Here is a 25,990-nt window from a genome sequence, read left to right as displayed (position 1 = left end):
CTTTTCTACCCTGAGTTTTAAATGACTGCTTACATTTTAAGGAACATATTAATTCAGGCATGTGATTTTTCCCAGGAAGATGATTTATTTTTGGGGGAATGTATGAACATTTATGTGTATGTATAACAATTCAATTATTTTCTTTTGTTACATAAAAAAGAAAGAAAATTAAAATAAGCATTATCTAAAAATAAGCAGTATTTCCACACATTTAAACAAATTCTAAAATACAGGAGACTATTTCTAAAGGAGTTCATTCTAAAAAATCTTTCACATCTATGCATTTATGTATAAAGACAAAAGATGGGTTTGCAAGAAATATAAATTTTAAGACTATATTTTTAACAACTGTGATGAACACTTACCTTCATTTCTTTTGAGAATGACCATATGCGTCTTTGTGTTCATGTATCATTCATGTACTAAGGTACCTGTTGTGGGAAGTCAGAGACCCTGAGCGGAGGGACTGGCTGAAGCCATGGCAGAAGAACATGAATTGTGAAGATTTCATGGACATTTATTAGTTCCCCAAATTAATACTTTTATAATTTCTTATACCTGTCTTTACTGCAATCTCTGAACATAAATTGTGAAGATTTCATGGACATTTATCGCTTCCCCAACCAATACTCTTGTGATTTCCTATGCCTGTCTTTAATCTCTTAATCCCATCGTCTTCATAAGCTGAGGATGAATGTCGCCTCAGGACCCTGTGATGATTGTGCTAACTGCACAAATTGTTTAAACAATATGAAATCTGGGCACCTTGAAAAAAGAACAGGGTAACAGCGATGTTCAGGAAACAAGGGAGATAACCTTAAAGTCTGGCTGCCTGTGGGCTGGGTGGAACAGAGCCACATTTCTCTTCTTTCAAAAGCAAATAGGAGAAATACTGCTGAACTCTTTTTCTCAACAAGGAACATCCCTGAGAGGGAGAATGCGTTCCCAAGGGGAGGTCTCTAAAATGGCCACTTTGGGAATGTCTGTCTTTTATGGTTGTTAATAAGGGATGAAATAAGCCCTGGTCTCCCGTAGTGCTTCCAGGCTTATTAGGATAAGGAAATTCCCACCTAATAAATTTTGGTCAGACTGGTTGTCTGCTCTCAAACCCTGTCTCCTGATAAGATGTTATCAATGGCAATGTGTACCTGAAACTTCATTGGAAATTTTAATTTCGCCCCAGTCCTATGATCTCACCCTGCCTCCATGTGCCTTGTGATATTTTATTACCTTGTGAAGCATGTGATCTCTGTGACCCACACCCTATTCGTACACTCCCTCCCCTTTTGAAAATCACTAATAAAAACTTGCTGATTTTGTGGTTTGGGGGCATCACGGAACCTGCCGACATGTGATGTCTTCCCTGGACACCCAACTTTAAAATTTCTCTCTTTTGTACTCTTTCCCTTTATTTCTCAGACCAGCCAACACTTAGGGAAAATAGAAAAGGACCCATGTTGAATATCGGGGGCTGGATTCCCCCAACAGTACCAAGCTACATGTTTATGGCAGCTAGCCTCTAGGATGGCCCCCAGTGATTCTCACATAATCTCATTATCTGTGAATGTGACCTCATTTGCAAATAGGGTCTTAGTTATGATGAGGTCATACTGAATTAGGGTGGGCCCTAACTACAATACGACTAGTGTTCTTGGAGGTAGAGGAAAATTTAGATACAGAGTTTGAGACACACAGGTAGATCATCATGTGATTGTCACAGGCAGAGGATGGAGTGCAGCAGCTGCAAGCCAAGGAGCACCAAGGATCTCCAGCCACTGCCAGAAGTTGCAAGGAAAGCAGGATTCTCCCCTAGAGCCTGCAGAGACAGCACAGCACTGACAGCAGCTTGCTTTCACATTTCTTGCCTCAGAACTAAAAGCAAATAAATTCGTATTGTTTTAAGCCATTCTGTTTTTGGTACTTTGTTTCAGAAGCCCAAGGAAACTAATAAAGATGGCATCATAGAGGAGTGGAAAATGAATAGTCTTTTCAATAAATAATGCTGGGATAAATCTATATCCACTTAGAAAAAGAGAAATTGGATCCTATTTCAAACCATACACAAAAATCAATTTTATCTATATTGTAGATGTGAATATAAAAAGCAAAATAATAAAACTTTTAGAAGATATGACAAACCTTCATTATACAAGGGTAGGAACAGATTTTTTTTAAAAAAAAGGACACAAAAATATTAGCTATAAAAAATTGATAAACTTTACTACAATAAAATTACCATCTTTGGTTCCTTAAAAGATACTATTAAATGAGTGAAAAAGCAATCCATAGAGTGGGCAAACGTGCTAGCAACATATGTCACCAACAAAGTGCTGTGATGCAGAACATTTACAGGACTACTACAGATGCTACAATATCAAATGTGGGTGAGGATGTGAGCCATGGGGCTCCCACACACTGCTCCTGGAGGTGTAAATTGGAGCAACTGCTTTGGAAGATGGTTAGGGATGATGAGTTATGGTTGCAGACATGCATTCCCTCTGATCAGCAAATTCCACTTTTAGAAATGAGGGTTTATGTATAGCCAGAAACACCTTCAAGAATATTCATAGCAATGTGATTTGTAAAGTTCACCAACAGTTGAGGGCAAAAATAAATTGTGGTATAAACGTATAAAAAAACACTCTAAAAGCAATAAAACTAAAAGAACTACAGCTTCATGCAATTAAGTGGGTTTTGTAAAACACAATGTTTAGCCAAAGAACCCAGACACAAAAGGATACATTCTATACAATTTAAATTACATAAAGTTTGAAACAAGGCAAAATTGAACTGTAGTGTTTAAGGATATGTGCTTAGGTATTAAACTCATATTATTAACGGAAGCATGTGATTGATTTAAATGTCAAGATAGTTGATTACCTTTGAGGGGTAGGAAAGGTAGGGATGGTAATCATGTATGGAATCATGTGTGGGCTTCTGAATGACAGGCAATATTCTATTTTTTCTAGAGATTATTAGAGTGTTTGCTTTGTGATAAATCAAAGTATTATACATACCTTTGTTGTGCATTTTTTGGTATAGGTATTTTATTTCACAAAAAATGTTAACCAAGAAAAGTCAGGTATATGAGACAGAAATTCTGATTTAGTTTTTAAAATGCTTAAACTACTGGGAATAGGACTGGTAGTACTCCCTACTGTTTTTGCTTTGGTGTTTTCACTGAGTTCTTTAATTTCCCCCATGCCAAGTATGGCTATGGAGATGATATGGTTTGGCTCTATGTCCTCACACAAATCTCATTTCAAACTGTAATCCCCATGTGTCCAGGAGGGACCTGGTGGGAGGTGATTGGATCATGGGGGCAGTTCTCCCCATGCTGTTCTCATGATAGTGAATGAGTTCTTATGAGATCTAATGGTTTTATAAGGGGCTCTTCCCACTTCACTTTCTCTCTCTCTCTTTCCTGCCACCTTGGGAAGAAGGTGCCTGCTTCCCCTTCCCCCATTATTGTAAGTTTCCTGAGGCCATCTCAGCCATGTGAAGCTGCAAATCAATTAAACCTCTTTCCTTCATGAATTACCCAGTCTCAGGTATGTCTTTATAGCAGTGTGAAAATGGACTAATACAGAAAGAAGCAGTGTTGGGGGGTTTCTAATCAGTTTTACCAACATGTTTCTTGAATGAATATGATGACAAGCTGAAAATGCAACTCTTTACTGAGCAAAACACATGTGGTGCTATGTTCTAAATAAATCACAGTTTTCAGTGGAACCATCAAAATAATATTATGTTTATAAAAATGTTATCACTAATTTGCTAGAAGTGTTTTTGCACGGTTTTAGCTTGTGTTTTCTCATCTCATCCATTCCACACTTAGAGACTCGCCATGCAATTACAGAAAGCCTCCAATTAAAGGAGCTTCCATCACTACCAAAACTGAAATTCATATCAGAGGATTGTAATTAACATCTATAAATTAACTGGACTCTCTTTCCCTGTATATGTGAACTAAAGATCAAATACTACAATTAATGCAGCCAAGAGAAAAAAAAAGTAGTATATGTGTAACTTGTTCTTTTGATTTCACTCTTCAGTATTTCCTAAACTGTTTCCTTTTTCACTTTGAAGAAAGAACTTCTGGTTTGTTCACAAGCCACTGTCACATGTGAATTTGCTTAACGTCTTTTGTTAATAAAATAATTACAAAACTGTTAAGTCCCTTTTATTTTTTCTTAGTGATATATGTTTTTACTTCCATTACTTTCATTTTTAAGCAGCCTATAGCTTTCAAAATTCACATTTCCTATGTTTAGAGCACATTACCAAAGTCTTTTTGAAAAGATAATTAGAGAAAAGTTATGAAATTATTGAAGCTAGAATTTTATTTTCATAAGGCTCCGTGTTACGTTTTGTAAAATGTATTGTGTCATCACTCAATGATTGAAATTATGAAACATAAAAATTAGCATCTACAACCAACAGAAGGATGTTTTAAAAAATCTTCAGTAGTTAAATTGTTTGTTATGATAACACAAGTAAAACAAGTCTGAAGAAAAACTAGATATCTCAAAAAAACCAAACAAATAAAGATATCTCCAAGAGACACTACCTTTTTAGTGTGTATTATTTCAAATTCTTTGCTACAAATACATGTACCTCTACTTGCATATATAGATATATATATTCACAACATTAAAGTAATAGCAACTTATTACTTAATAATAAATTACTGTTATTTATTAATTATTTAAACACTGCTTTTAAAAACATTTCAGGTGTTCAGTCATAAAACAAGGCAAGAGCGGATCTGGAGGGCAAATGAAAGACACAGCAGCTAGTTTTGGTAAACTTCAGTTACACTGTGTTTTTTATGGCTAGCAGTGGCAGGAGAAGCAAGTTTAATACCTATAAATCCATGATCCACATGGGTCCATTCCTCAAAGCATTGAATGGCAGGTAGAAAGTGAAAGCCCATATTCTCTGATTACCTTGAAATTCTACAATCCTACAACAGGCTGAATTGGTGAGCAACCTACCATGGTTTTACAGTTAAATCTGCAGAGTTGAACCACCTTCTTGAAAGAAATTATTTTATTTTGTGTCTTTAGAGTGCTTGGCTCAATAGCAAAGCCAGTGTTCAAGCCCCTACTGATAATGAACAATAAGAAGAAAATGATTTTAGACAAGGAGTGAAGGAAGTTTGTAGAGATTATAAATGCAAAGTAGGCAGATCAATAGCTCTCGTAAGTAAGCAGGAGAAGGTCATTTTAAATCTGTTGTATAACATAATAGAACGTATATAATATAAAAATTATAATAAATAATATAATCTCTGGGTATGGCATGGCAGTTACTATACCTCACATTTGCAAAATGTTTGATACTAAACATCCTGAAAATGTGATCTTTATATAACTCTGTGCCATATGTAGCAATGAAGATATTTAAGTTAGGAATAATTATTCCCATTTTACATGTTTTCAAGGGATGGCAGGCCATTTTTTTAAATACATCTTTTAATTTAATTTTATCTTTATTCTTAATTTTACTTTAAGTTCTGGGATACATGAGCAGAATGTTCAGGTTTGTTACATAGGTATACTTGTGCCATGGTGGTTTGCTGCAACTATCAACCCGTCACTTAGATATTAAGCCCCGCATGCATTAGGTAATTGTCCTAATGCTCTCCCTCCCCTTGTCCCCCACCCCACAACAGGTCCCAGTGTATGATGTTCCCCTCCACGTGTTCATGTGTCCTCATTGTTTAACTCCCACTTGTGAGTGAGAACATGCAGTGTTTGGTTTTCTGTTTCTGTGTTAGTTTGCTGAGAATGATGGTTTCCAGCTTCATCCACGTCCCTGCAAAGAACATGAACTCATTCTTTTTTATGGCTGCATAGTGTCCTATGGTGTATATGTGCCACATTTTCTTTACCCATTCTATTATTGATAGGAATTTGAGTTGGTTCCAAGTCTTTGCTATTGTAAATAGTGCTGCAATAAACATATGTGTGCATGTGTCTTTATAGTAGAAGAATTTATAATACTTAGGGTATATACCCAGTAATGGGACTGCTGTGTCAAATGGTATTTTTGGTTCTAGATCCTTGAGGAATCACCACACTGTCTTCCACAATAGTTGAACTAATTTACACTCCCACCAAAAGTGTAAAAGCTTTCCTATTTCTTCACATCCTCTCTAGCATCTGTTGTTTTCTGACTTTTTAATGACCCTCATTCTAACTGGTGTGAGATGGCATCTCATTGTGGTTTGGATTTGCATTTCTCTAATGACCAGTGATGATGAGCTTTTTTTCATATGATGTTGGCCACATAAATGTCTCTTTTGAAAAGTGTCTATTCATATCCTTCACCCACTTTTTGATGGGGTTGTTTTTTCTTGTGAATTTGTTTTAGTTCCTTGCAGATTCTGGATATTAGCTCTTTGGCAGATGGATAGATTGCAAAAACGTTCTTCCACTCTGTAGGGTGCCTGTTCACTCTGATGATAGTTTCTTTTGCTGTGCAGAAGTTCTTTAGTTTAATGAGATCCATTTGTCAATTTTGACTTTTGTTGCAATTGCTTTGGTGTTCTAGTCATGAAGTCTTTGCCCATGCCTATGTCCTGAATTGTATTGCCTAGGTTTTCTTCTAGGGTTTTTATGGTTTTAGGTTTTATGTTTAAGTCTTTAATATATCTTGAGTTAATTTTTGTATAAGGCATAAGGAAGAGGTCCAGTTTCAGTTTGCTGCATATGGCTAGCCTGTTTTCCAGCACCATTTATTAAATAGTGAATCCTTTCCCCATTGCTTGTTTTTGTCAGGTTTGTCAAAGATCATATTATTGTAGATGTGTGGTTTTATTTCTGAGGCCTCTGTTCTGTTTCATTGGTCTATATATCTGTTTTGGTACCAGTACCATGCTGTTTTGGTTACTGTAGCCTTGTAGTATAGTTTGAAGTCAGGTAGTATTATGCCTCCAGCTTTGTTCATTTTGCTTAGGATTGTCTTGGCTATATGGGCTCTTTTTAAGTTCCATATGAAATTTAAAGTAGCTTTTTTCTAATTCTGTGAAGAAAGTCACTGGTAGCTTGATAGGAATAGCATTGAATCTACAAATTACTTTGGGCAGTATGGCCATTTTCATGATATTGATTCTTCCTATCCATGAGCATGGAATGTTTTTCTATTTGTTTGTCTCCTCCCTTATTTCCCTGAGCAGTGATTTGTAGTTCTCCTTGAAGAGGTCCTTCACGTACCTTGTAAGTTGTATCCCTAGGTATTTTATTCTCTGTAGCAATTGTACATGGGAGTTCACTCATGATTTGGCTCTCTGCTTGTATATTGTTGGTGTATAGAAATGCTTGTGATTTTGCAGATTGATTTTGTATCCTGAGACTTAGCTGAAATGGCTTATCAGCTTAAGAAGTTTTGGGGGCCGGGCGCGGTGGCTCACGCCTGTAATCCCAGCACTTTGGGAGGCCGAGGCGGGCGGATCACGAGGTCAGGAGATCGAGACCATCCTGGCTAACACGGTGAAACCCCGTCTCTACTAAAAATACAAAAAATTAGCCGGGCGTGGTGGTGGGCGCCTGTAGTCCCAGCTACTCGGGAGGCTGAGGCAGGAGAATGACGTGAACCTGGGAGGCGGAGCTTGCAGTGAGCCGAGATCGCACCACTGCACTCCAGCCTGGGCGACAGAGCGAGACTCCGTCTCAAAAAAAAAAAAAAAAAAAAAAAAAAAAGAAGTTTTGGGGCTGAGACTATGGGGTTTTCTAAATATATAATCACGTCATCTGCAAACAGAGGGACAATTTGACTTCCTCTCTTGATATTTGAATACACTTTATTTCTTTCTCTTGCCTAATTGCCCTGGCCAGAACTTCCAATACTATGTTGAATCGGAGTGGTGAGAGAGGGCATCCTTGTCTTGTGTCAGTTTTCAAAGGGGATGCTTCCAGCATTTGCCCATTTCATATGATATTAGCTATGAGTTTGTCATAAACAGCTCTTATTATTTTGAGATATGTTCCACAAATACCTAGTTTATTGAGAGTTTTTAGCATGAAGGGGTGTTGAATTTTATTGAAGGCCTTTTCTGCATCTATTGAGATAATCACGTGATTTTGTCATTTGTTCTGTTTATGTGGTGGATTATGTTTATTGATTTGCATATGTTGAACTAGCCTAGTATCCTAAGTCTGAAGCCAACTTGATTGTGGTGGATAAGCTTTTTGATGTGCTGCTGGATTCGGTTTGCCAGTATTATATTGAGGATTTTCACATCAATCTTCATCAGGGATGTTGTCCTAAAATTTTCTTTTTTCGCTGTGTCTCTGCCAGGTTTTGGTATCAGGATGATGCTGCACCATAAAATGAGTTAGGGAGGAGTCCCTCATTTTCTATTGTTAGGAATAGTTTCAGAAGGAATGGTACCAGCTCCTCATTGTACCTCTGGTAGAATTTGGCTGTGAATCCATCTGGTCCTGGGCTTTTTTTTTTTTTGGTTGGTAGGCTATTAATTACTGCCTCAATTTCAGAACTTGTTATTGGTAAATTCAGGGATTTGACTTCTTTCTGGTTTAGTCTTAGGAGGGTGTATGTGTCCATTTCTTCTAGATTTTGTATCCATTTCTTCTAGATTTTGTAGTTTATTTGCATAGAGGTGTTTATAGTATTCTCTGATGGTTGTTTGTATTTCTGTGGGATCAGTGGTGATCTCCCCTTTATCATTTTTTATTGTGTCATTTGATTCTTCTCTTTTTTCTTCTTTATTAGTCTGGCTAGTGGTCTATCTACTTTATTAATCTTTTCAAAAAACCAGCTCCTGTATTCATTGATTCTTTTGAAGGGTTTTTTTGTGTTTCTATCTCCTTCAGTTCTGCTCTGATCTTAGTTATTTGTTGTCTTCTGCAAGCTTTTGAATTTTTTCCTCTTGCTTCTCTAGTTCTTTTAATTGTTTCTCTAGTTCTTTTAATTGTGATGTTAGGGTGTCTATTTCAGATCTTTCCCACTTTCCAATGTGGGAACTTAATGCTATAAATTTCCCTCTTAACACTGCTTTAGCTGTGTCCCAGAGATTCTGGTGTGGTCTCTTTGTTCTCATTGGTTTCAAAGAACTTCTTTATTTCTGTCTTAATTTCATTATTTACCCAGCAGTCATTCAGGAGCAGACTCTTCAGTTTCCATGTAGTTGTGTGGTTTTGAGTGAGTTTCTTAATCCTAGGTTCTAATTTGATTGCACTGTGGTCTGAGAGACTGTTTGTTATGAGTTCTATTCTTTTGCATTTGTTGAGGACTGTTTTACTTCCAATTATGTGGTCAATTTTAGAATATGTGTTATGTGGTGCCAAGAAGAATGTATGTTCTGTTGATCTGGGGTGGAGAGATCTGTAGATGTCTATTAAGTCCACTTGGTTCAGAGCTGAGTTCAAGTCCTGAATATCCTCATTAATTTTCTGTCTCATTTGTCTGTCTAATATTGACAGTGGGGCATTAAAGTCTCCCACTATTATTGTGTGGGAGTCTAAGTCTCTTTGTAGGTCTCTAAGAACTTGTTTTATGTATCTGGGTGCTCCTGTATTGGGTGCATATATATTTAGGATAGTTAGTTCTTCTTGTTGCATTGATCCCTTAATCATATGTAATGTCCTTCTGTGTCTTTTTTGATCTTTGTTGGTTTAAAGTGTGTTTCATCAGAGACTAGGATTGCAACCTCTGCTTTTTTTGCTTTCCATTTGCTTGGTAAATAATCCTCCATCCCTTTATTTTGAGCCTATGTGTGTTTGAGCACATGAGATGGGTCACCTGAATACAGCACACCAATGGGTCTTGACTCCTTATCCAACTTGGCAGGCCCTTTTTTTATGTGATGAAAGTTTTGGTGCTTGTTACTCAGTGAGTGGTGGCTAGGAGTTGGCATAACTGAATTTAATGAACAGGGAAATTATTGCTGTTATAGGCATATGGGTCCCTATACAGATGGTAAAAACCACTACGTGATTTATATGGCAAATTCACCCAGAAATTTTTCTACTCTATTATTAGAAACTCATTATTTACTAGATAGGTTATCACAGATTGTGAGACACTATAACAAAGTCTTGATGGATGTTTTTACTAAATACTGTATGTGTGCATGTGTGTATATTTGTGCATGATGTAATATACAAAAAAAAGGTAGGCATGTGACCATTAAGAGGCCTGAGAGGAAGAAAGGGGAAAACCAGAAAGAATCAAAACATGTAACTTTATGAATTACAAGGTATTTCATTGTGTTCATCTCTAATAAAGAAGGGCTTCATTCTGATCCTGAGTTTGGTTCACCTCAATCAGTAGCAGCAATTTCTACTGGTATCTGGCCCACAGAGACAAGAAAGCTGTAATTTTTCATATTTCTCCTCCTTCATGAAGGGTGCCACATAGAGGGAGCTTCTTATATAAAAGGATCGATATTTAGAGGGCACTTTCTTTTTAGAGAGGTTGAGATCAACCTAAGCCAAGTATGTCTGAGATATAACTTTTTCTCATGGGATACCTTATTGTTTCAACTGAAATACATTTTTCCCTTGGAATGAACAAACTTTGCTCATGAGAAAACTGTCCAAGATGAAGACAGAAAATGTGTGGCCTTAGGAAATGCTACAGCTCTACAGCTGGTGCAGAAAATTCCATTTGGGATATTTGGTCCAATTCGGCATCACAATTCCAACATCATCTACTTGTGGACACTACAAGTGTAAATATATCTGTTGCTTATTTATGAAGCCTAAATTTAAAATAAGAAAACACAGAAGGTTTGGTCTGATAATTTTCTGAAATGAAGAATCTATTTTTAAAATCTTTACTGGAGGTCATACCCTGTTCTTGATCTCATTTAAACTGGTAGGAAATAATTTTTTTCCCTCTGAAACCATTCTACTCCCAACCCTTGCCTTTAGAAAATGCTTCTCTTTCTCTTTGATTGATGTGCACACTCATTCATTTGCTCCACATCCCCCCACACAAGCCTTTTCGTGATTGAAAGGGGGCTTGAGTGACAGCTATGACCTGGGCTTCAGGCCTTCTGTTCCTGCTTTATAGATGGGGCTTGTCAACTGCCTGACACGTGCAATTTGTTTCCCGAGCACCTTAATTTCCAGCTTTTTATTTTTGCTGAAATTATTTTATTTTGGATCGTTCTCTTGTCCTCTTTAAATATTTTGTTTTTTTGTATAACTTAGTGATGGCACACTTTTGTTAATTTCTACTGAGTTGTAGGGTGGCAATATACTCCTATACTTTTAACGACATTTTTTATTATAAAATAATAAAAATGTATGGCTTTCTTAAAAAAGGGTAGCAAAGATTATAAAATAAAATGTAAAAGTTCACATCTCTACCCCGTATTCCTTTAATCAGAGGCAACTGTAGCAAATTACACTTATATATATTTTATATATATATATATATATACACACACACACATACACTTTTTAATTATAAGAATAAACATGCTCATTATTCTTTTCTGTTTGGTAACCTAATAACCTTCTATTAGTGGACATATATTTATGTCAGTAAATAAATGAACTATCAATTCCTAGAAGTGTAATTGCAGTGTCAGGTATATCTGCATTTAAAAGTTTGGAAGATCCTGACAGATAGCTTCCTAACACTAATCTATGCTCTATCAAAAGTTTATGACAGGGTTGTTTTTTCCACTTCCTAACAAACAAATGTGTACTGGTAATCTTTGTAACTGTAGTGAATGAAAACGGCATTTTGCAGTTTTAATTTGCCTTTGCTTAATTTTTAGTGACATTAAAAATCTTTCTATATACTTATTGACCGTATGTGTTTATTTCCCTATAAAATAGATTTTTGTATCCTTTGTTCACTATTCTCTTTTTGATCATTTTTGAATTGATTTGTGAGACCTTCTTTTATACTACAGAAATTAGGCCTTTGTCATAATGGTTGCCGTTTTTTGTTAAATTGTAATGCTTAAATAAAAACTTTGTGTATGGTGTTATTCTCAGATCATTTTTTTTTTAAATTTTGACATGACAAATCTTCCTTTAGAGTTTCTGAGTTTTATATTGTACCTAGAAAACTTCCCCCATTCAAAAAATATGAATACATTTCCCATTATTGGTCTCTGGGTCTCTAATGGCTTGCTTCCCTTTTCTCCTTTCCTTCCTTTCTCCTTCCTTCATTTCCTTCTAATATTTAAATATTTATCTCACTTGGAATATATTTTGACATAAGAAGTAAGACAGGGATTCATTCCATTAAAATGACACAATATCAATTTTTAAAGATAAATTATTTGGCCTGTACTTTTAAAAATGGATTTTTGTCTTAGTCATCTTGGGATGCAATAACAAAATATCATAGACTTGGTGGCTTAAACAACAGGAATTTATTTCTTACAGTTGTGGAGGCTAGAAGTCTGAGCTAAGTGTGGCAGCCTGGTTGGGTTCTGGTGAAGGCTCTCTTCTTGGCTTGCAGACAACCACTTTTTTGCTGTGTTATGGTCTCTTCCTTTTTTATAAGGACAGTAATTCCATTATGCGGGCCTTACCCTATGACCTCATCTAAACCTAATTATCTCCCAAAGGCCCTATCCTATTGGAAATTAGGGCTTCAACATAAGATTTTTCGGGAAACACCAACATTCAGTCTGTATTCATTTCTAAGAGGTATTAAATCAAAGTTATCAGATATGTTCAAGCAGAAAAAAGGCCTTATTTCATCCCTTCAAAATCTATTGGTCACATATTGTATCCCAGTCAAGATGCTCCAAAAATTAATCTGCCACTTCCCTTTGACAAGTAACTCCTGGTCTTTGTGGCAACACAAAATCTACCAACAATTGCAACACAGTGTGTTAACAAGTAGAACAAAGCCATGCATTCATTCAGCAATCAACTTGACAAGGTGCCTGTGGAGAGGGGCACTTGGAACTTCGTCCTATGGTATTAGGAAGGGCCCTCCTGGAGTCGTTTCTCTTCTGAGCCTTGAGGAATGTCTAGGATGATCTTTTCAGGGTACAACATGCCCAGCATAATGACTGGAGAAGACTTAAGTGAATATGCTTTTGCCCCAACTTATGATTATTCTAGCCACGAAGTAAATGTCACATGTAAATACTGCTGGACACAGGAAGGAATGTTACAAAATCTAGTGGTTATCGGGAGTTCACAAGCTTATCTGCAGGAAAGATTTCTATTAAACATGAACTAAAAATAAAACTTGAGGGGCTTTCGAATTTCCTATTGGAACGTATTATCACTCCTTTTCAAAGGTTCCTAGTTAAAAAAAATATTTCCAGGAATAATGATGGATAATTAAGAAAAACAAATTTCTGTTCTGCAGGGTATGATAGGGTCCAATTCTGTCTGAGAAACTAGCGAGCCATATAAATATTGTATCTGGGTCAACAAACAGCTGTTCAAAAATATCTGTGGCATTTGCTGTTTACTTTGATTGCCTTGGATAATAGTCACTAGGCAACAGGACGGTTTGCTCTTTCGTGCATGGCGGCCGTTAGTTAAGTTGTTATATAACATGCCAAGACCTGCCGTCCATCACTGAGACCGACTGAGATGAACGGTCATGCAGGGAAGTGTGGATGCAGAGCCTTCAGCTGAGGGTACTTTGCATTCTCCAGAGCCTTCCACAAATATATTAGTAACGTTACTCATTTACTCTGATTAAGATGAGTTATGGCAGATTAAAGGGAAATAACCTATAAGTTTTTAAAGCTGAATATGTGTCTTACCTACGTCTGCAAATGTCTGGGGAAAGTAACATGTGAATGTCTTAGAAACCATATTTTTTTCTGCTACATTATAATATGTATGAATCTAGTAATCAGAAAAATCCTGGCAGGGCAGAAGGCAGTATTTTTTAAAAAAATTTTCATTGAAAATAAGCTTTTAAAAAAATCCAGCAGTCACAAGTATACAGCTTAATGAATTTCACAAACTGAATACACCTTTATAACTGGCACTCAGTTCAAGAAACAAAATGTGACCCTCATGGGAACAGTTCCAACCACACCGCAGGCTTGGGGGTGGGGATATTTCATGGCGAGGCAAAGGGAGCACAGAATAAAAGAAGTTAAGGACTCCCAGCCCAGAAAAGAGTCTTTCCATCTCTTCTCCTTAAAAGACAGAAATGCTCACAATATTCACAAAAGAACACAGAGAGGGTGAAAGTGTTTCCGGCCATTCCTGGGGGACACAATTGCAGAACTGGAGCACCTCATTTTGAGCGCTTGCGTGTACTCTGCTCAAGAAACACCGACAACTGATGAACCTGTCTCCCAAAAACCACAATTAGAGCATCTTGAAGCAGATTGAGAATGCTGCACAATTAATATCACAATAGAGGACAACTCAAGAAATGACTGGTCCAATGTGAGTACTGGCCCATGTGTCTGGCAGGTAGAAGCAGATCAGCAGAGCAGGATGAGAACAGCAAGAAAGGAAACAGAGGAGACCCTTTCCAGAAGAGTATTCCAGGGCCCTAAAAAGGAGAAATTGTTGGTCCATTAAATACACACACACACACACAAAGACCAAAAATCACACTGTCATCCTATTACTGTATTTTGTGTATATATTTTTGCTTCATGTATTTACAGGAACTAGTCATTTTGTAATATAAGTTCTTTTTTTAATAGTCTTTTCTTTCAAACGTTCAAAATGTTTTTAAGTTTTCAAAAAGCAGCTTTTGTGCTGCTTTTTAAAGTCCTCTATGAAAAATGGTTTCTAGCTGTATTAGGGTTCTCCAGAGGGACAGAACTAATGGAATAGAAGTATATATATATAAAGGGGAGTTTTTTCAGTATTGACTCACAGGATCACAAGGTCCCACAATAGGCTGGCTGTCTGCAGGCTGAGGAGTAAGGAGAGCTAGTCCGAGTTCCAAAACTGAAGAACCTGGAGTCCGATGTTCGAGGGCAGGGAGCTTCCAGCATGGGACAAAGATGTAGGCTGGGAGGCTAGGCCAGTCTCTCTTTTCACATTTTTCTGCCTGCTTATATTCTAGCCGTGCTGGCAGCTGATTAGATTGTGCTCCCCCAGATTAAGGGTGGGTCTGCCTTTCCCAGCCCACTGACTCAAATGTTAATTTCCTTTGGCAATACCCTCACAGACACACCCAGGATCAATACTTTGTATCCTTCAGTCCAATCAAGTTGACACTCAGTATTAACCATCATACCAGCATTGCTTGGAAGTGATATTTGAGCCAGGTAGGCCTACCCATCAGATACCTACAGTAAAGAATATGGAAGTAAAATGTGGATACGTAAAATTACCCCTGCACCTAGTATGAAAATAGTCTCTTCTTGTTTGTACATATGGATTGTTTACATAATAAAGTTTAATGCCAGCTTTATTAGATTAAATCTATTTATTTATTTAGTCTCTGTAGAACAATGTGTTCTTTAGTACAGTAGACAAAGACATCAATATAAGAGCTATGCTGATAGAGCGAATCAAAGCTCTGCATCAGAGAGAATATTTGAATCAGGCAAACACTTAATGTATGAAGGAAAATGTGGTCATTGTTTTCTTAATTCTGTTACTCATACAAAGCAAGAAGTACATTTATGATTTAACCAAAGCAGTATTTAGTTAAAAGATGCTATTCCACATATTAAACTACTCAAAACAAGCTTTTATTTTGTTATTAGTGTTTGGTTACATTAAGAATTTATTACTATCATTTAGAACATAATTACACTTTAGAGATAAGGAATTTTACTATACGTTAGAGTAGAAACCTTAATTATCTATACTAAGAAGTCCTGATGAAATTATATGTTAAAGCAATAATTACAGTACTAAGGAATCTAGTACCCAATGTTCTTTAGAATTCTAATCTGTACTGTTAGTTAAAACAACAATATATTTTAAGACATTTGGGTAAAAAGTACACTCTTGAATAACAAGGATTTTTAGAATGAGTTTATTGGGGTCAAAGGAATAAATTTAAGATTACAACATTAATAAATATACATTGCATATTTATAAATCAAGTACAATATACTAAGTACTTCTTTGGTTTATTGAAGTGAATTCAAATATTTATAAATCTGTATAATCCATAGAGATGTTAAGGAAAACAAATGCCTTAAAAATGTCAGACTTAAGAACATCCAGTTTAGCTTGACACTTGGCTTCATTCAAGCTTCATTGTTAAAGTTGATTGTGGTTTCCTATCAGTTTTGTTCTTTGCTCTTCTTTCTGTCTTCCTTTTCCCTTCCTTTTTCCCTCCCTCCCCCTCTCTCTCCCCCATATCCCCACTTTCTTTCTTTCTTGACAATTTTTTATCTGTTCAATATTTTCAGCATCTTGTGGTTCCAGGGAAAAATGATTCATGCATCTGTTTCTCAGTATTTCAGTCTCACAGATCAGAGTGTATGGTTCTATGTTTGTGAAGAAATAAAAGTCTATAAGAACAAGAATCTATTCCATTTACAACTTTACATGAGTAAAAGAAGTTTCAAAACCAAGCCTACCAAGTCCCAAATTGCAATACATCAGCTGAGGAGTTCTTGGCTACTACAGCTTTTTGTAAAACACAAATAGTACAAAAATCTGTGGTATACCAACCTTGTTTAAGATGTCTAGCAATTCTCCTTGCCTTGGATCTAAATATATATGTGAAGTCCACGTTCACCTCAGTGTGTGACTAGGGAAATTTCCACATGAGAGGAGGTTTTTCTTTGATTTAGGTATCTTCAAAATATAATAGAAAATTGTTCTTTAAATCATAAATTATCTTTAAAAGAAGAGTGTTCTTTAAACTACTAATTAAGACACCTTTCATTCAGATTGACTAAGAACTCCCACCTAGAAGACAGTAGAGTGTAACAGCTAGGGCAAAATTAGGAATACCACCTCACTGGAAACAGTGATGAAATAAGGCATTATATTAGGTTGGTGCAAAAGTAATTGCGGTTTTGCCATAAAATTAACGGTTAAACCTGATTCACCATGGGCTATCATCCATCAGAGCTGGATTTAAATTCCATGTCCTCCTCAGAGCCGCGTCTGATCTACCAAAATCAATTCCTCCCACCCTTATAATTCTAGCTGCTTTCTCTTACAGGCATTGTTACATTTTGCCCTCTGTTAAAAAATTATTTTATTCATCTCTGAATCCTCAGTATATGAGTGAGCATGAGAGGCAAAGTCGTCAATATAAGCATAAAGGGTCAGGGTTGCTGGAGGGACAGTGACCCTGCACACTCTGGTGCACACTTGCAGGTTGGAGGCGGCCCTCTGGGCCCTGAACTAAGAAACCTAGAGAGTCCCAAATTTGAGAAGAGGTTTTCCGGAGGTATTTGCTTTTCATTTACGCCCCTTTTCAGAAGTCTTGCTAATTTCAAGCAGTGTACTTTATAGTTTCTTGTGAAAATATTTTCTCAGTAGTATTTTCTGTCATTAGTCCAAGTAAGATTAATTAAAATACATGCATGTTTGGCCTTGTTAAGCAGTTTTGAGACAGATTATTCTAAGATTAAATCTGTCATGTTTAAAGCAAGATCACAGATAGAAATTGTATACTTTATTGATCAACTGTATAGTGTGTTAATATGGCTTTTAATTGATCCTTCTGAAAAAGGGAGGTTACCAGAAAGAAAACATTATAGTTATTCTTATCACCCTCTTCCCCATCCCATGAAGTTTTAGTGGGATCTTTGAATCACAAGTTGTCATGGATTCAGTTCTTTTAATTTTTAAATTTGCCACACATGCCTTTCAATGATTGACATCCCATCGCTCATTACAGGATGGCTACCAAGTCTGGAAACATGGATAAATTCACAATTGATGAATTATTGATATTACATTAAGATATGTGATAAATAATACACATTTATTTCTAGACTTTGTGGTCACCCTCTATAATGAATATTTTTCCAAGTATAATAAACACATTGTTCAAACTGTTCTTAAATCCAATTATAGTTCTTCAAGACATGTATTTATTTTCTGCTACTACTTTTGCAAATGTCACAGGTGTAATATGTGTTTTTTAAAATTAAAGTGAGCATTTTGATACACATTTAAACTAAGGCTTATTTTTTCCTGAATACTAAAGTAACACATGCCTATTGTGAGGAAATTAAAAAATATAAGAATGTACGAAGAAGGGGGACTGTCTTGTATAGTGAATTACCAAGTAATAATCATCACTTGTGTAAGTATAGTTACAGTATTTTTCTATGGGTATATTTTTTCATATTTAGGATTATATTTTTATAAAATGTATACACTTTTTCTTGATAATATGTCATAAATATGTTTCCTTATAATTAAAATACTTTGCAGGTATACTTTTAAATTCTTACATAGTTGTACACAATATAGGATATGTATATTTCATAATCAATTTAAATATTCCTCTATTTTTGAACATCTAGGTTGGTTCGGACATTTTACTCTTATAAAGAACATAGCAATAATGATCTTTGTATGTAAAACTTTCCTGGTCTAAAGCATGTACATATTTTTAAGGCTCCAAGTAAAAAATGCCAATGCATTTTTTTTTTAGCAAGATGGGACTAATTTATAATTCTACTAATTCTAATACTGAGAGTACTAACATAATACTACTAATACTAATGCCAAGAATAAATGATATTTATATTAAAAATAATATATTTATAAAATAGTGTCAATTTATTAAAAGAAAGATAACACCTTGTCAGTTTAATTGATAGGTTGAACACTTTTTTCTTAAATGTACTTGCTACTTATATTTCCTTACCTGTGAATTTCTTGCTCATGTCTTTTGTATAATGATATTTTGGTGGTCATTTATCAATTTAAATTAAGAATGCAACCCTTTGCAATATTCATCATAAATATTTACTCAGTTTTATATGTTTCTTAATTTTTGAATGACACTTTTTAGATACATATATTTTACATTTTTAGGAAAGCAAATACAGTGATTATTTTCCTTTCTGATACCTTCCAATGCTTTCAAGTTTAGAGAGTCCTCCTGATCGAGAGATCAGATCTTCGTCTTTTAAAAAATTAAGTTAAATTAGAATTTACACAGAACTGTTCACTCTCCCATAACTTAATTTGGAATGTGTTTTTAAATAAGATTTGGAAACTTAAATAAAGTCTTTGAGCTTAAGTAAAAAATAATATGTAATGATAAATTTCTGATAGCGCTTGATGATTCTGATCAAATGATCAAATTCATCTAGCCAAATTTGCATTGTCTATTTTAGACTTTAAGGACCAAATTATGTCCATATTCTATAGATCTTTAGAAGTAGAATGAGTTTTGAAGAAAAGTAACTGCGAGGGCAGTTATTAGGTGCTCTGTCTGAGTCCCGTTTCTAAGCTTGTTTGCAGCTATTGCACTTGATTTTAGAGTGAAGCTCTGTAGTTATTATTGGGCAAGCTGAACTAACGCAGTGGTGAGTCAATGGTCACTGTTCTTGCAGACATGAAATGAAGCTTAATTTTCTGAAGAAGCCACTGTCACTGATGTGAAATGGCATTCTAGTGACATTTTCTTCTCAGAAGTTAGTGCTGCTGCCTGTGTTCTGAAATTTAATCTGAGGCCCAGTGGGCAAGTGCTCCGACAGGAGTTAAGAATAATGAGTCATCCCAAGTGCCAACATCTGTTTCAAGTTGGAAATTGATGCACTGTTATTTAAAAACAGGGCTTCTGGCTTTTCACAAATGAACAATTAGCATCTCACTGCTTTAAGAATTTGAAAAATGTTTTTATTTTGCCATCTTATAACTGACTATATAGTGGTGAAATTCTCAAAATTATTTTGAATTTGTGGGAAGAACATTAACGTTATTTGCTTTCTGAATCATTTTTCCCTGGAAATTGAAATTAATTTAAAGGAAATTGTATAGGTCCAGGCACATTTTCAATGAGTGTCACTGAAGATGACAGTTTTATGTGACTAAATTTATGACTCTATGACTCAGACCAGGAGTTGTTTCTTTGGTTGGTAAGGCTAAGTCCCAACCTCAGACCCTCTGGGGCCGAGGTTATAGAATGACTATTGTACAGATGGAACAAGAGTGGGAAATAGTCCCAGGCAGGGAATGGCATCTCCATTTCATGATGAACTTCCTGTCACATTTTATTTCCCAGGTAAGTGGCAGTAATCATAACACTTTAATGAAGAAAATAAACCTTAGGCATGGAAAGATTCCAAATATTTGTATAAAAAGTGAAATGTCTACTTAATTACCCAACCACTTTTAAATAGTCAGGTTTGAGGTATTATGCAGATGAAATGTTTGAATTAATCTCTTTGTTTTTATGTGCCTGTAGTCTTAACATGGCAGATTAATAAATATTTTTATTGATTCTATTCTTGATTGACAACTTATTATTTTCATAAATATGGATTAACTGTGAGAAAACCGAACTACTGATAACTTCAGATAATGAGTTCTGTTTATTATCTTCAGCACTCCCTATCACTCACTTTACCTATTCCACTGTAAATATCTTAAGAATATTCTCAGGGGCCGGTCACGGTGGCTCACACCTGAAATCCCAGCACTTTGGGAGGCCAAGGCAGGTGAATTGCTTGAGCCCAGGAGTTTGAGACAAGCCTGGGCAACATAGTGAAAACCCACCTCTGTGAAAAATACAAAAATTAACAGAGTGTGGTGGTGCACACCTGTAGTCCCAGCTACTTGGCAGGCTGACTTGGGAGGATTGCTTGAGCCTGGGAGGTGGAGGTTGCAGTAAGCTGAGTGACAGAGCAAGACCCCATATCAAAAAAAAAAAAAAAAAAAAAAAAAAAGAATATTCTTAGAAATCTAGTTTGTAGAGAGAAAAATTCTAAAGCTCCAAAATAATTATCAACTTCGCTATCTAACTTCAATTACTGTAAAATCTATTTTATTAATTACTGGTTAAATTTGCTCTAAATTATTCTAAACAAAGGATTTCAATACTAGCAGCTGTGAATTAAGCTTCAGGATCTAGAATTCATTTCAAGATGTGTATATGCTTGTTTGTGCACATTGTACCTTTTTCCTTTCACTCATTTACAGGTATTAAATTCCCTAAGGATGTTCCAGAGAAGTTTCCATTATTCTTTCAGCAGTTAGAGAACTGCTTCCAGCTGAGCACCAGCTTATCCCACCAGCAGGAAAAAGTTTGTTCTTCCTATTATTCTAGCCGTTCACTCATCAATCTTGCTTTAGCAACTTGTTGGGCATGAAAAATTGGTTAGATGAAAGTATTCTCTTGCTTTTGGTATATTTGTTGTCTTACAGGCAGCAATAACAATGACAACAATAAACAGAAAACTAGAGAATTTTGAATATATGCTCTCTCAGGAAAAGTCTGAAAGAAAAAACAGTTATTTTTGGTGTGTTTTAAGAAGCAGCAGCGAGTGTTAACCTTAATAACAAGCAGAGAGACGCTCTATAAAAGAAAATATTTATTTTCTTGAAATAGGGCATTGCAAAGGGAATATGTGTGCCACAGTAAACTATGTGCGTATTCAGGAAGGTAAAAGAAGACCAGGATTTTTAAAAGAAAAATGATAAAGTTTACATAATTGTTTTAAGGTAATTATCCTTGGCTAAAAAAGTCAATAACCTTGCTGGTCTGAGGTTGGACAGGTAGTTGCTGGGCAGATGTCCTTGCAGAAGTATATTTTTGTGTAAAGTTGCCATGGCCTTTGTGCAAAGTTGTGGTTTTGCAGCGTCTTTTGTGATAGTTCTTGCTATTAGTCATTTATGCATGAGAACCCTTCCTTCGTGGACTTTCCCAGCTCTATTTGCCAGAATTTTAAACACAATTTACTCCATTTTGACTCTGACAATGTTCACAGGAGTGTGGGCATTGAAGCAGACTAATACTCTAATTTTTCTAGGTTCAAGATTGAATTTAAATTGACTTAAAATATAAAAATGAAATTATCATTTTTGGGGGATCTGTACAAAAATGCTATTTGTTTCTTTCAAAGGATACTTGGAAAATAAATCTGAAAGTCAACATTTATAGATTTTTCTATAGCTAGTGGAATTATCTGTTTGCAATCCAAACATCTCTGGGGAATTAAAGAAATTAAGGAAACAACCCCATTTACAATGGCTATAGAAAGGACTCAGGAAATGACTTAGCCAAGGAGGTGGAAGACTTGTACATTGAAATTTAGAAAACAATGATGAAAGAAGTTAAAGCAGACACAAATAAATGTAAAGATATCCCATGTTCATGGATTGGAAGAATTAATGTTAAAATGTCTGCACTACTCAAAGTGATTTATAGATTCAATGCAATCTCTATTAAAATCCCAATGGCATTTTTCAAACAAATAGGAAAACAATCCTAAAATTCATATGGAACACATGACCCTAAATAGAGGGATTTCCAGCAAGAAGGGCAAAGTTGGACGTATTGTACTTCCTGACTTCAAAATATATCCCAACACTATAGTAATCAAAACAATATGGTACTGGCATAAAAAAAAAACCAGACAAATAGATCAATTGGAACAGAATAGGAAACTCAGAAATAAAATCAAGCATATAACATCAACTGATTTTCAACAAGGGTGCCAAAAATACACAATAAGGAAAGGATAGTCCCTTCAATAATTACTGTTGGAAAAACTGGATAAACACATGCAAAAGAATGAAATTGGACTTACAGCATGCACAAAACTCATGTTGGATTAAATGGATTAAAGACTTAAACATAAGACCTGAAACTGCAAAGCTATTAAAAGAAAACATAAGAGAAAATCTCCATGACATTGGTCTTGGCAATGGTTTCTTGAATATGACACTAAAAACAGACAAGGAGGACTACATCAAACTAAAAACCTTCTTCACAACAAAGGAAATATGGAAAATGGAAAGGCAACCTACAGAATGGGATAAAATATTTGCAATCATATATCTGAAAAAGGATTAATATCCAAATATATAAGAAAGTCGAACTCAATAGCAAAGATAAAAGTAATCCAATTAAAAATGGGCAAAAGATCTGAATAGGCATTTCTCCGGAGGAGAAATGACCAGCAGGTATAGGAAAAAATGCTTAACACTACTGATCAGGAAAATGTAAATCAAAACCACAGTGAGATATCACCACACATATGTTATGACTGCTATTATAAACAACAACCCCCCCCCCCAAAAAAAAAACCCAAAAGATAACAAGTGTTAGTGACTATGTGGTAAAAAGGGAAATCCTTATATACTATTGGCGGGAATATATATTGGTGCAACCATTACAGAAACAGTATGGAGATTCCCTGGGGAAAAAAAAACTGCCATGTAGCAATCTCACTTCTGGGAATATACTCAAAGGAATTGAAATCAGATTCTCAAAGAGATAATTGCATTCCCATGTTCATGGCAGCATTATTCCCAGTAGCAAGATATAGAAACAACCTTAATGTCCAAGCAGACACATGAATAAAGAAAATGTGATATTTACATAAAATGACATATTTTTTAGTCTTAAGAAAATCTTGCTATCTGCAACAACATGGATGAACCTAGAGGACATTATACTAAGTGAAATAAGCCAGGCACAGAAGGACAAATGCTACATGATATCACTTATATGAGGAATCTAAAATAGTCAAACTCATAGAACAGAGAGTAGAATGGTGGTTTCCAGAGGTCATGGAGAGAGGGAAATGGGGAGATTTTAGTCATAGGGCACAAAGTTTCAGCTATGCAAGATGAGTAAGTCCTAGAGATATACTGAATAGTATAATGCCTATAGTTAAGAATACTTTATTGTACATGTAAAAATTTTCTAGGAGAGTAGATTCTACATTAAATGTTCTTATAAAAATATATACAGACAGACATATATACATGCATACAAACTTTTGGAGATGATGGCTATGTTCACAGCATAGATTGTGATGACAGTTTCATAGCTGTATGTTATCTCTAAACCCATCAGGTTTATTCATTAAACATGTACAACTTTTTGTGTATCAACCATACTTTAATAAAGTGGTTTAAAAACTACAACAGCTGGTTTTCATTTATTATATATTTGTGTTTAGCAAAGTAATAATAAATTTGTGTCAAACACAAATATATAATGAATGAAAGCCAGCTAAATTGTAGTAATGTAAGAAAAAGTTAAGGGAAAATACTAGAATTCTATAGTCCTTTCTATGAAACCTTTGGAGCAGATGCATTCAGATATTGGAAAGACACTGTGGTGCATATACTGTGTACTATGTTCCACCCTTAGTAGTTTCTACAGCAATGTTCTTTATCACTTTACTGTTTCTGCAGCAAAACCTGTAAGCATTCATGCTAAATGAAATAAAATAAAGTTATAAATAGTATACATTAGTTCAGGTTAAGTTTTACCACCCAAAGATTGGAGATAAAAAACAACAATCTTACAGATCTCTCAGAGCTTTGGATTTAAGAATTCTCAACATGGTGTTATAAATGGTATAAGACAACATATATGCACAGCTTGGTTGATGATGCTTGTACTAACAGGATCAATGACAGAAAATGTATACACCAGCAAGTGAAAATTATATTAGCTCTCTCTTACAGTGTGTCTCTAACTTTCTATTAGTTGTTTCTCATACGTTCCATCTAACCCTCAAAGCAGCTTTGCACATTTGGAATAATTTATCTCATTTTGTAAATAAGGAGGCCGAGGATCAGAGAAGTCAAGTAATTTGCTCAAGGTCAGATAAATCAGACAGATTCAAAGACAAGTTTTTCAAATTTCAGAAGCCTTTGCTCTTTCTATAGCATAATAATAAGCTAGTGAAAGAAGGCATATTCCCTGAATCAGCTGAGAAACAGGATCCTAAAACAGGTTTTCAGATGCTTGCTACCAGGCTAGATATTTTTCTGTCTGTTAAAAATCTCATGAACGACTATTTCTTTATGGTAGATATTAACAGAATAATCTCAACCTATATACAAAGAAATAAAGTCATTACGTGGCTCTAACATAGGTATTCAAACAAGTGAAAGATGTTCAAGCCATACCATCTCAGAAGGACGAGTTTAAGCATCTTAAAGGCATCGGGTATCTCTAAGCACTAGCAGAAGTTCAGATAATGATACTCAAATTACTTGCCAGAAAAACTGATAACTAATTAATAGGTGATTTTAATGGCTTTAAGCAATGATTTATTTTAAAGTATTTAGTCCTCTATTAATAAAAATAAAATTATTTAATGCAAATGTTTGCAGCTTAATAGCTCCTATAACTCTAGTCTTGTTTTCTGTTTTTCCATGGGATTAAGCACATGACTCATCTATTTTGGCACTTAGTTCTAAGTTGTATACTTCTCTATTTTATGAGAATGTAATTTGTCTTCTTGGTTAGATTGCAATCTTTCAGAGGCTAAGAATTTCATGATGTGCTCTCTTTAAATTCCAGTGACCCTAGGCTGGGCGTGTGGTCTGTATTTAATATGTAAAAATAATTAAATCTGATCCAGCCATTTTGGTAAAGATCACGTTTTTAAACATTAGGTAAACAGTAGGGTTTCTTCTTTTTACAAATGTGTTCTTGAATGACTCAGATTTTGAAATGAAATCTCAACCTCACACCCTGGCATACATATCAAAGAGTTCTGGTTGCTTGGTGTTGCTTTAAAGCTGAGTTTGATCATATCAAGAACAATTTATGAAGCCTTCTTCTTATCACCTTTCTGACAAGTACAATAGTTATGCTTTGAATTTACTTTATTAAATGCTTATGAAGATTTTCTTTTTAGAGTGCCTCATCTTAAAATAAGAATAAGAAAACCTTAATAATCTTCCATGATCAGAGTATTTTACAAAATGCAGCGCCATTGCATGGAACAGAATTGCTGCCTATGCTAAAACAAATCTTGTGGATATATGAGCATTAACTCTAGCCTGCTGTAGATGAAAAAGTTAAATTTGATGAATCTTTCTCTTGAAGGCTGTTCCAAGCTAACAGGTAAATCTTAATGGAGAATCGGTGACATGAACAGTGAAACAAGTGGTGTTTCAGGCTTCCTAAACAACTGAATTAT

General features: G+C 35.3%; 2 annotated features.

Moving 5' to 3' along the window:
• Nucleotides 12,461-13,211: an enhancer, noted in NCBI's record as "OCT4-NANOG hESC enhancer chr6:130953902-130954652 (GRCh37/hg19 assembly coordinates)". NCBI's record gives its function as "activates a minimal SCP1, AML or CMV promoter by ChIP-STARR-seq in naive and primed H9 embryonic stem cells {active_cell/tissue: H9 hESC(naive and primed)}" and the evidence as "EXISTENCE:reporter gene assay evidence [ECO:0000049][PMID:30033119]".
• Nucleotides 19,490-19,784: a silencer, noted in NCBI's record as "tiled region #149; K562 Repressive non-DNase unmatched - State 24:Quies". NCBI's record gives its function as "represses a minimal TATA promoter and a strong SV40 promoter by Sharpr-MPRA in K562 cells {active_cell/tissue: K562}" and the evidence as "EXISTENCE:reporter gene assay evidence [ECO:0000049][PMID:27701403]".

Source organism: Homo sapiens, chromosome 6, assembly GCF_000001405.40.
Source record: "Homo sapiens chromosome 6, GRCh38.p14 Primary Assembly".
Taxonomy (NCBI): Eukaryota; Metazoa; Chordata; class Mammalia; order Primates; family Hominidae; genus Homo; species Homo sapiens.
The sequence above is the reverse complement of the archived record's forward strand: the minus strand, read 5'-3'. Positions and strand labels throughout refer to the sequence as shown.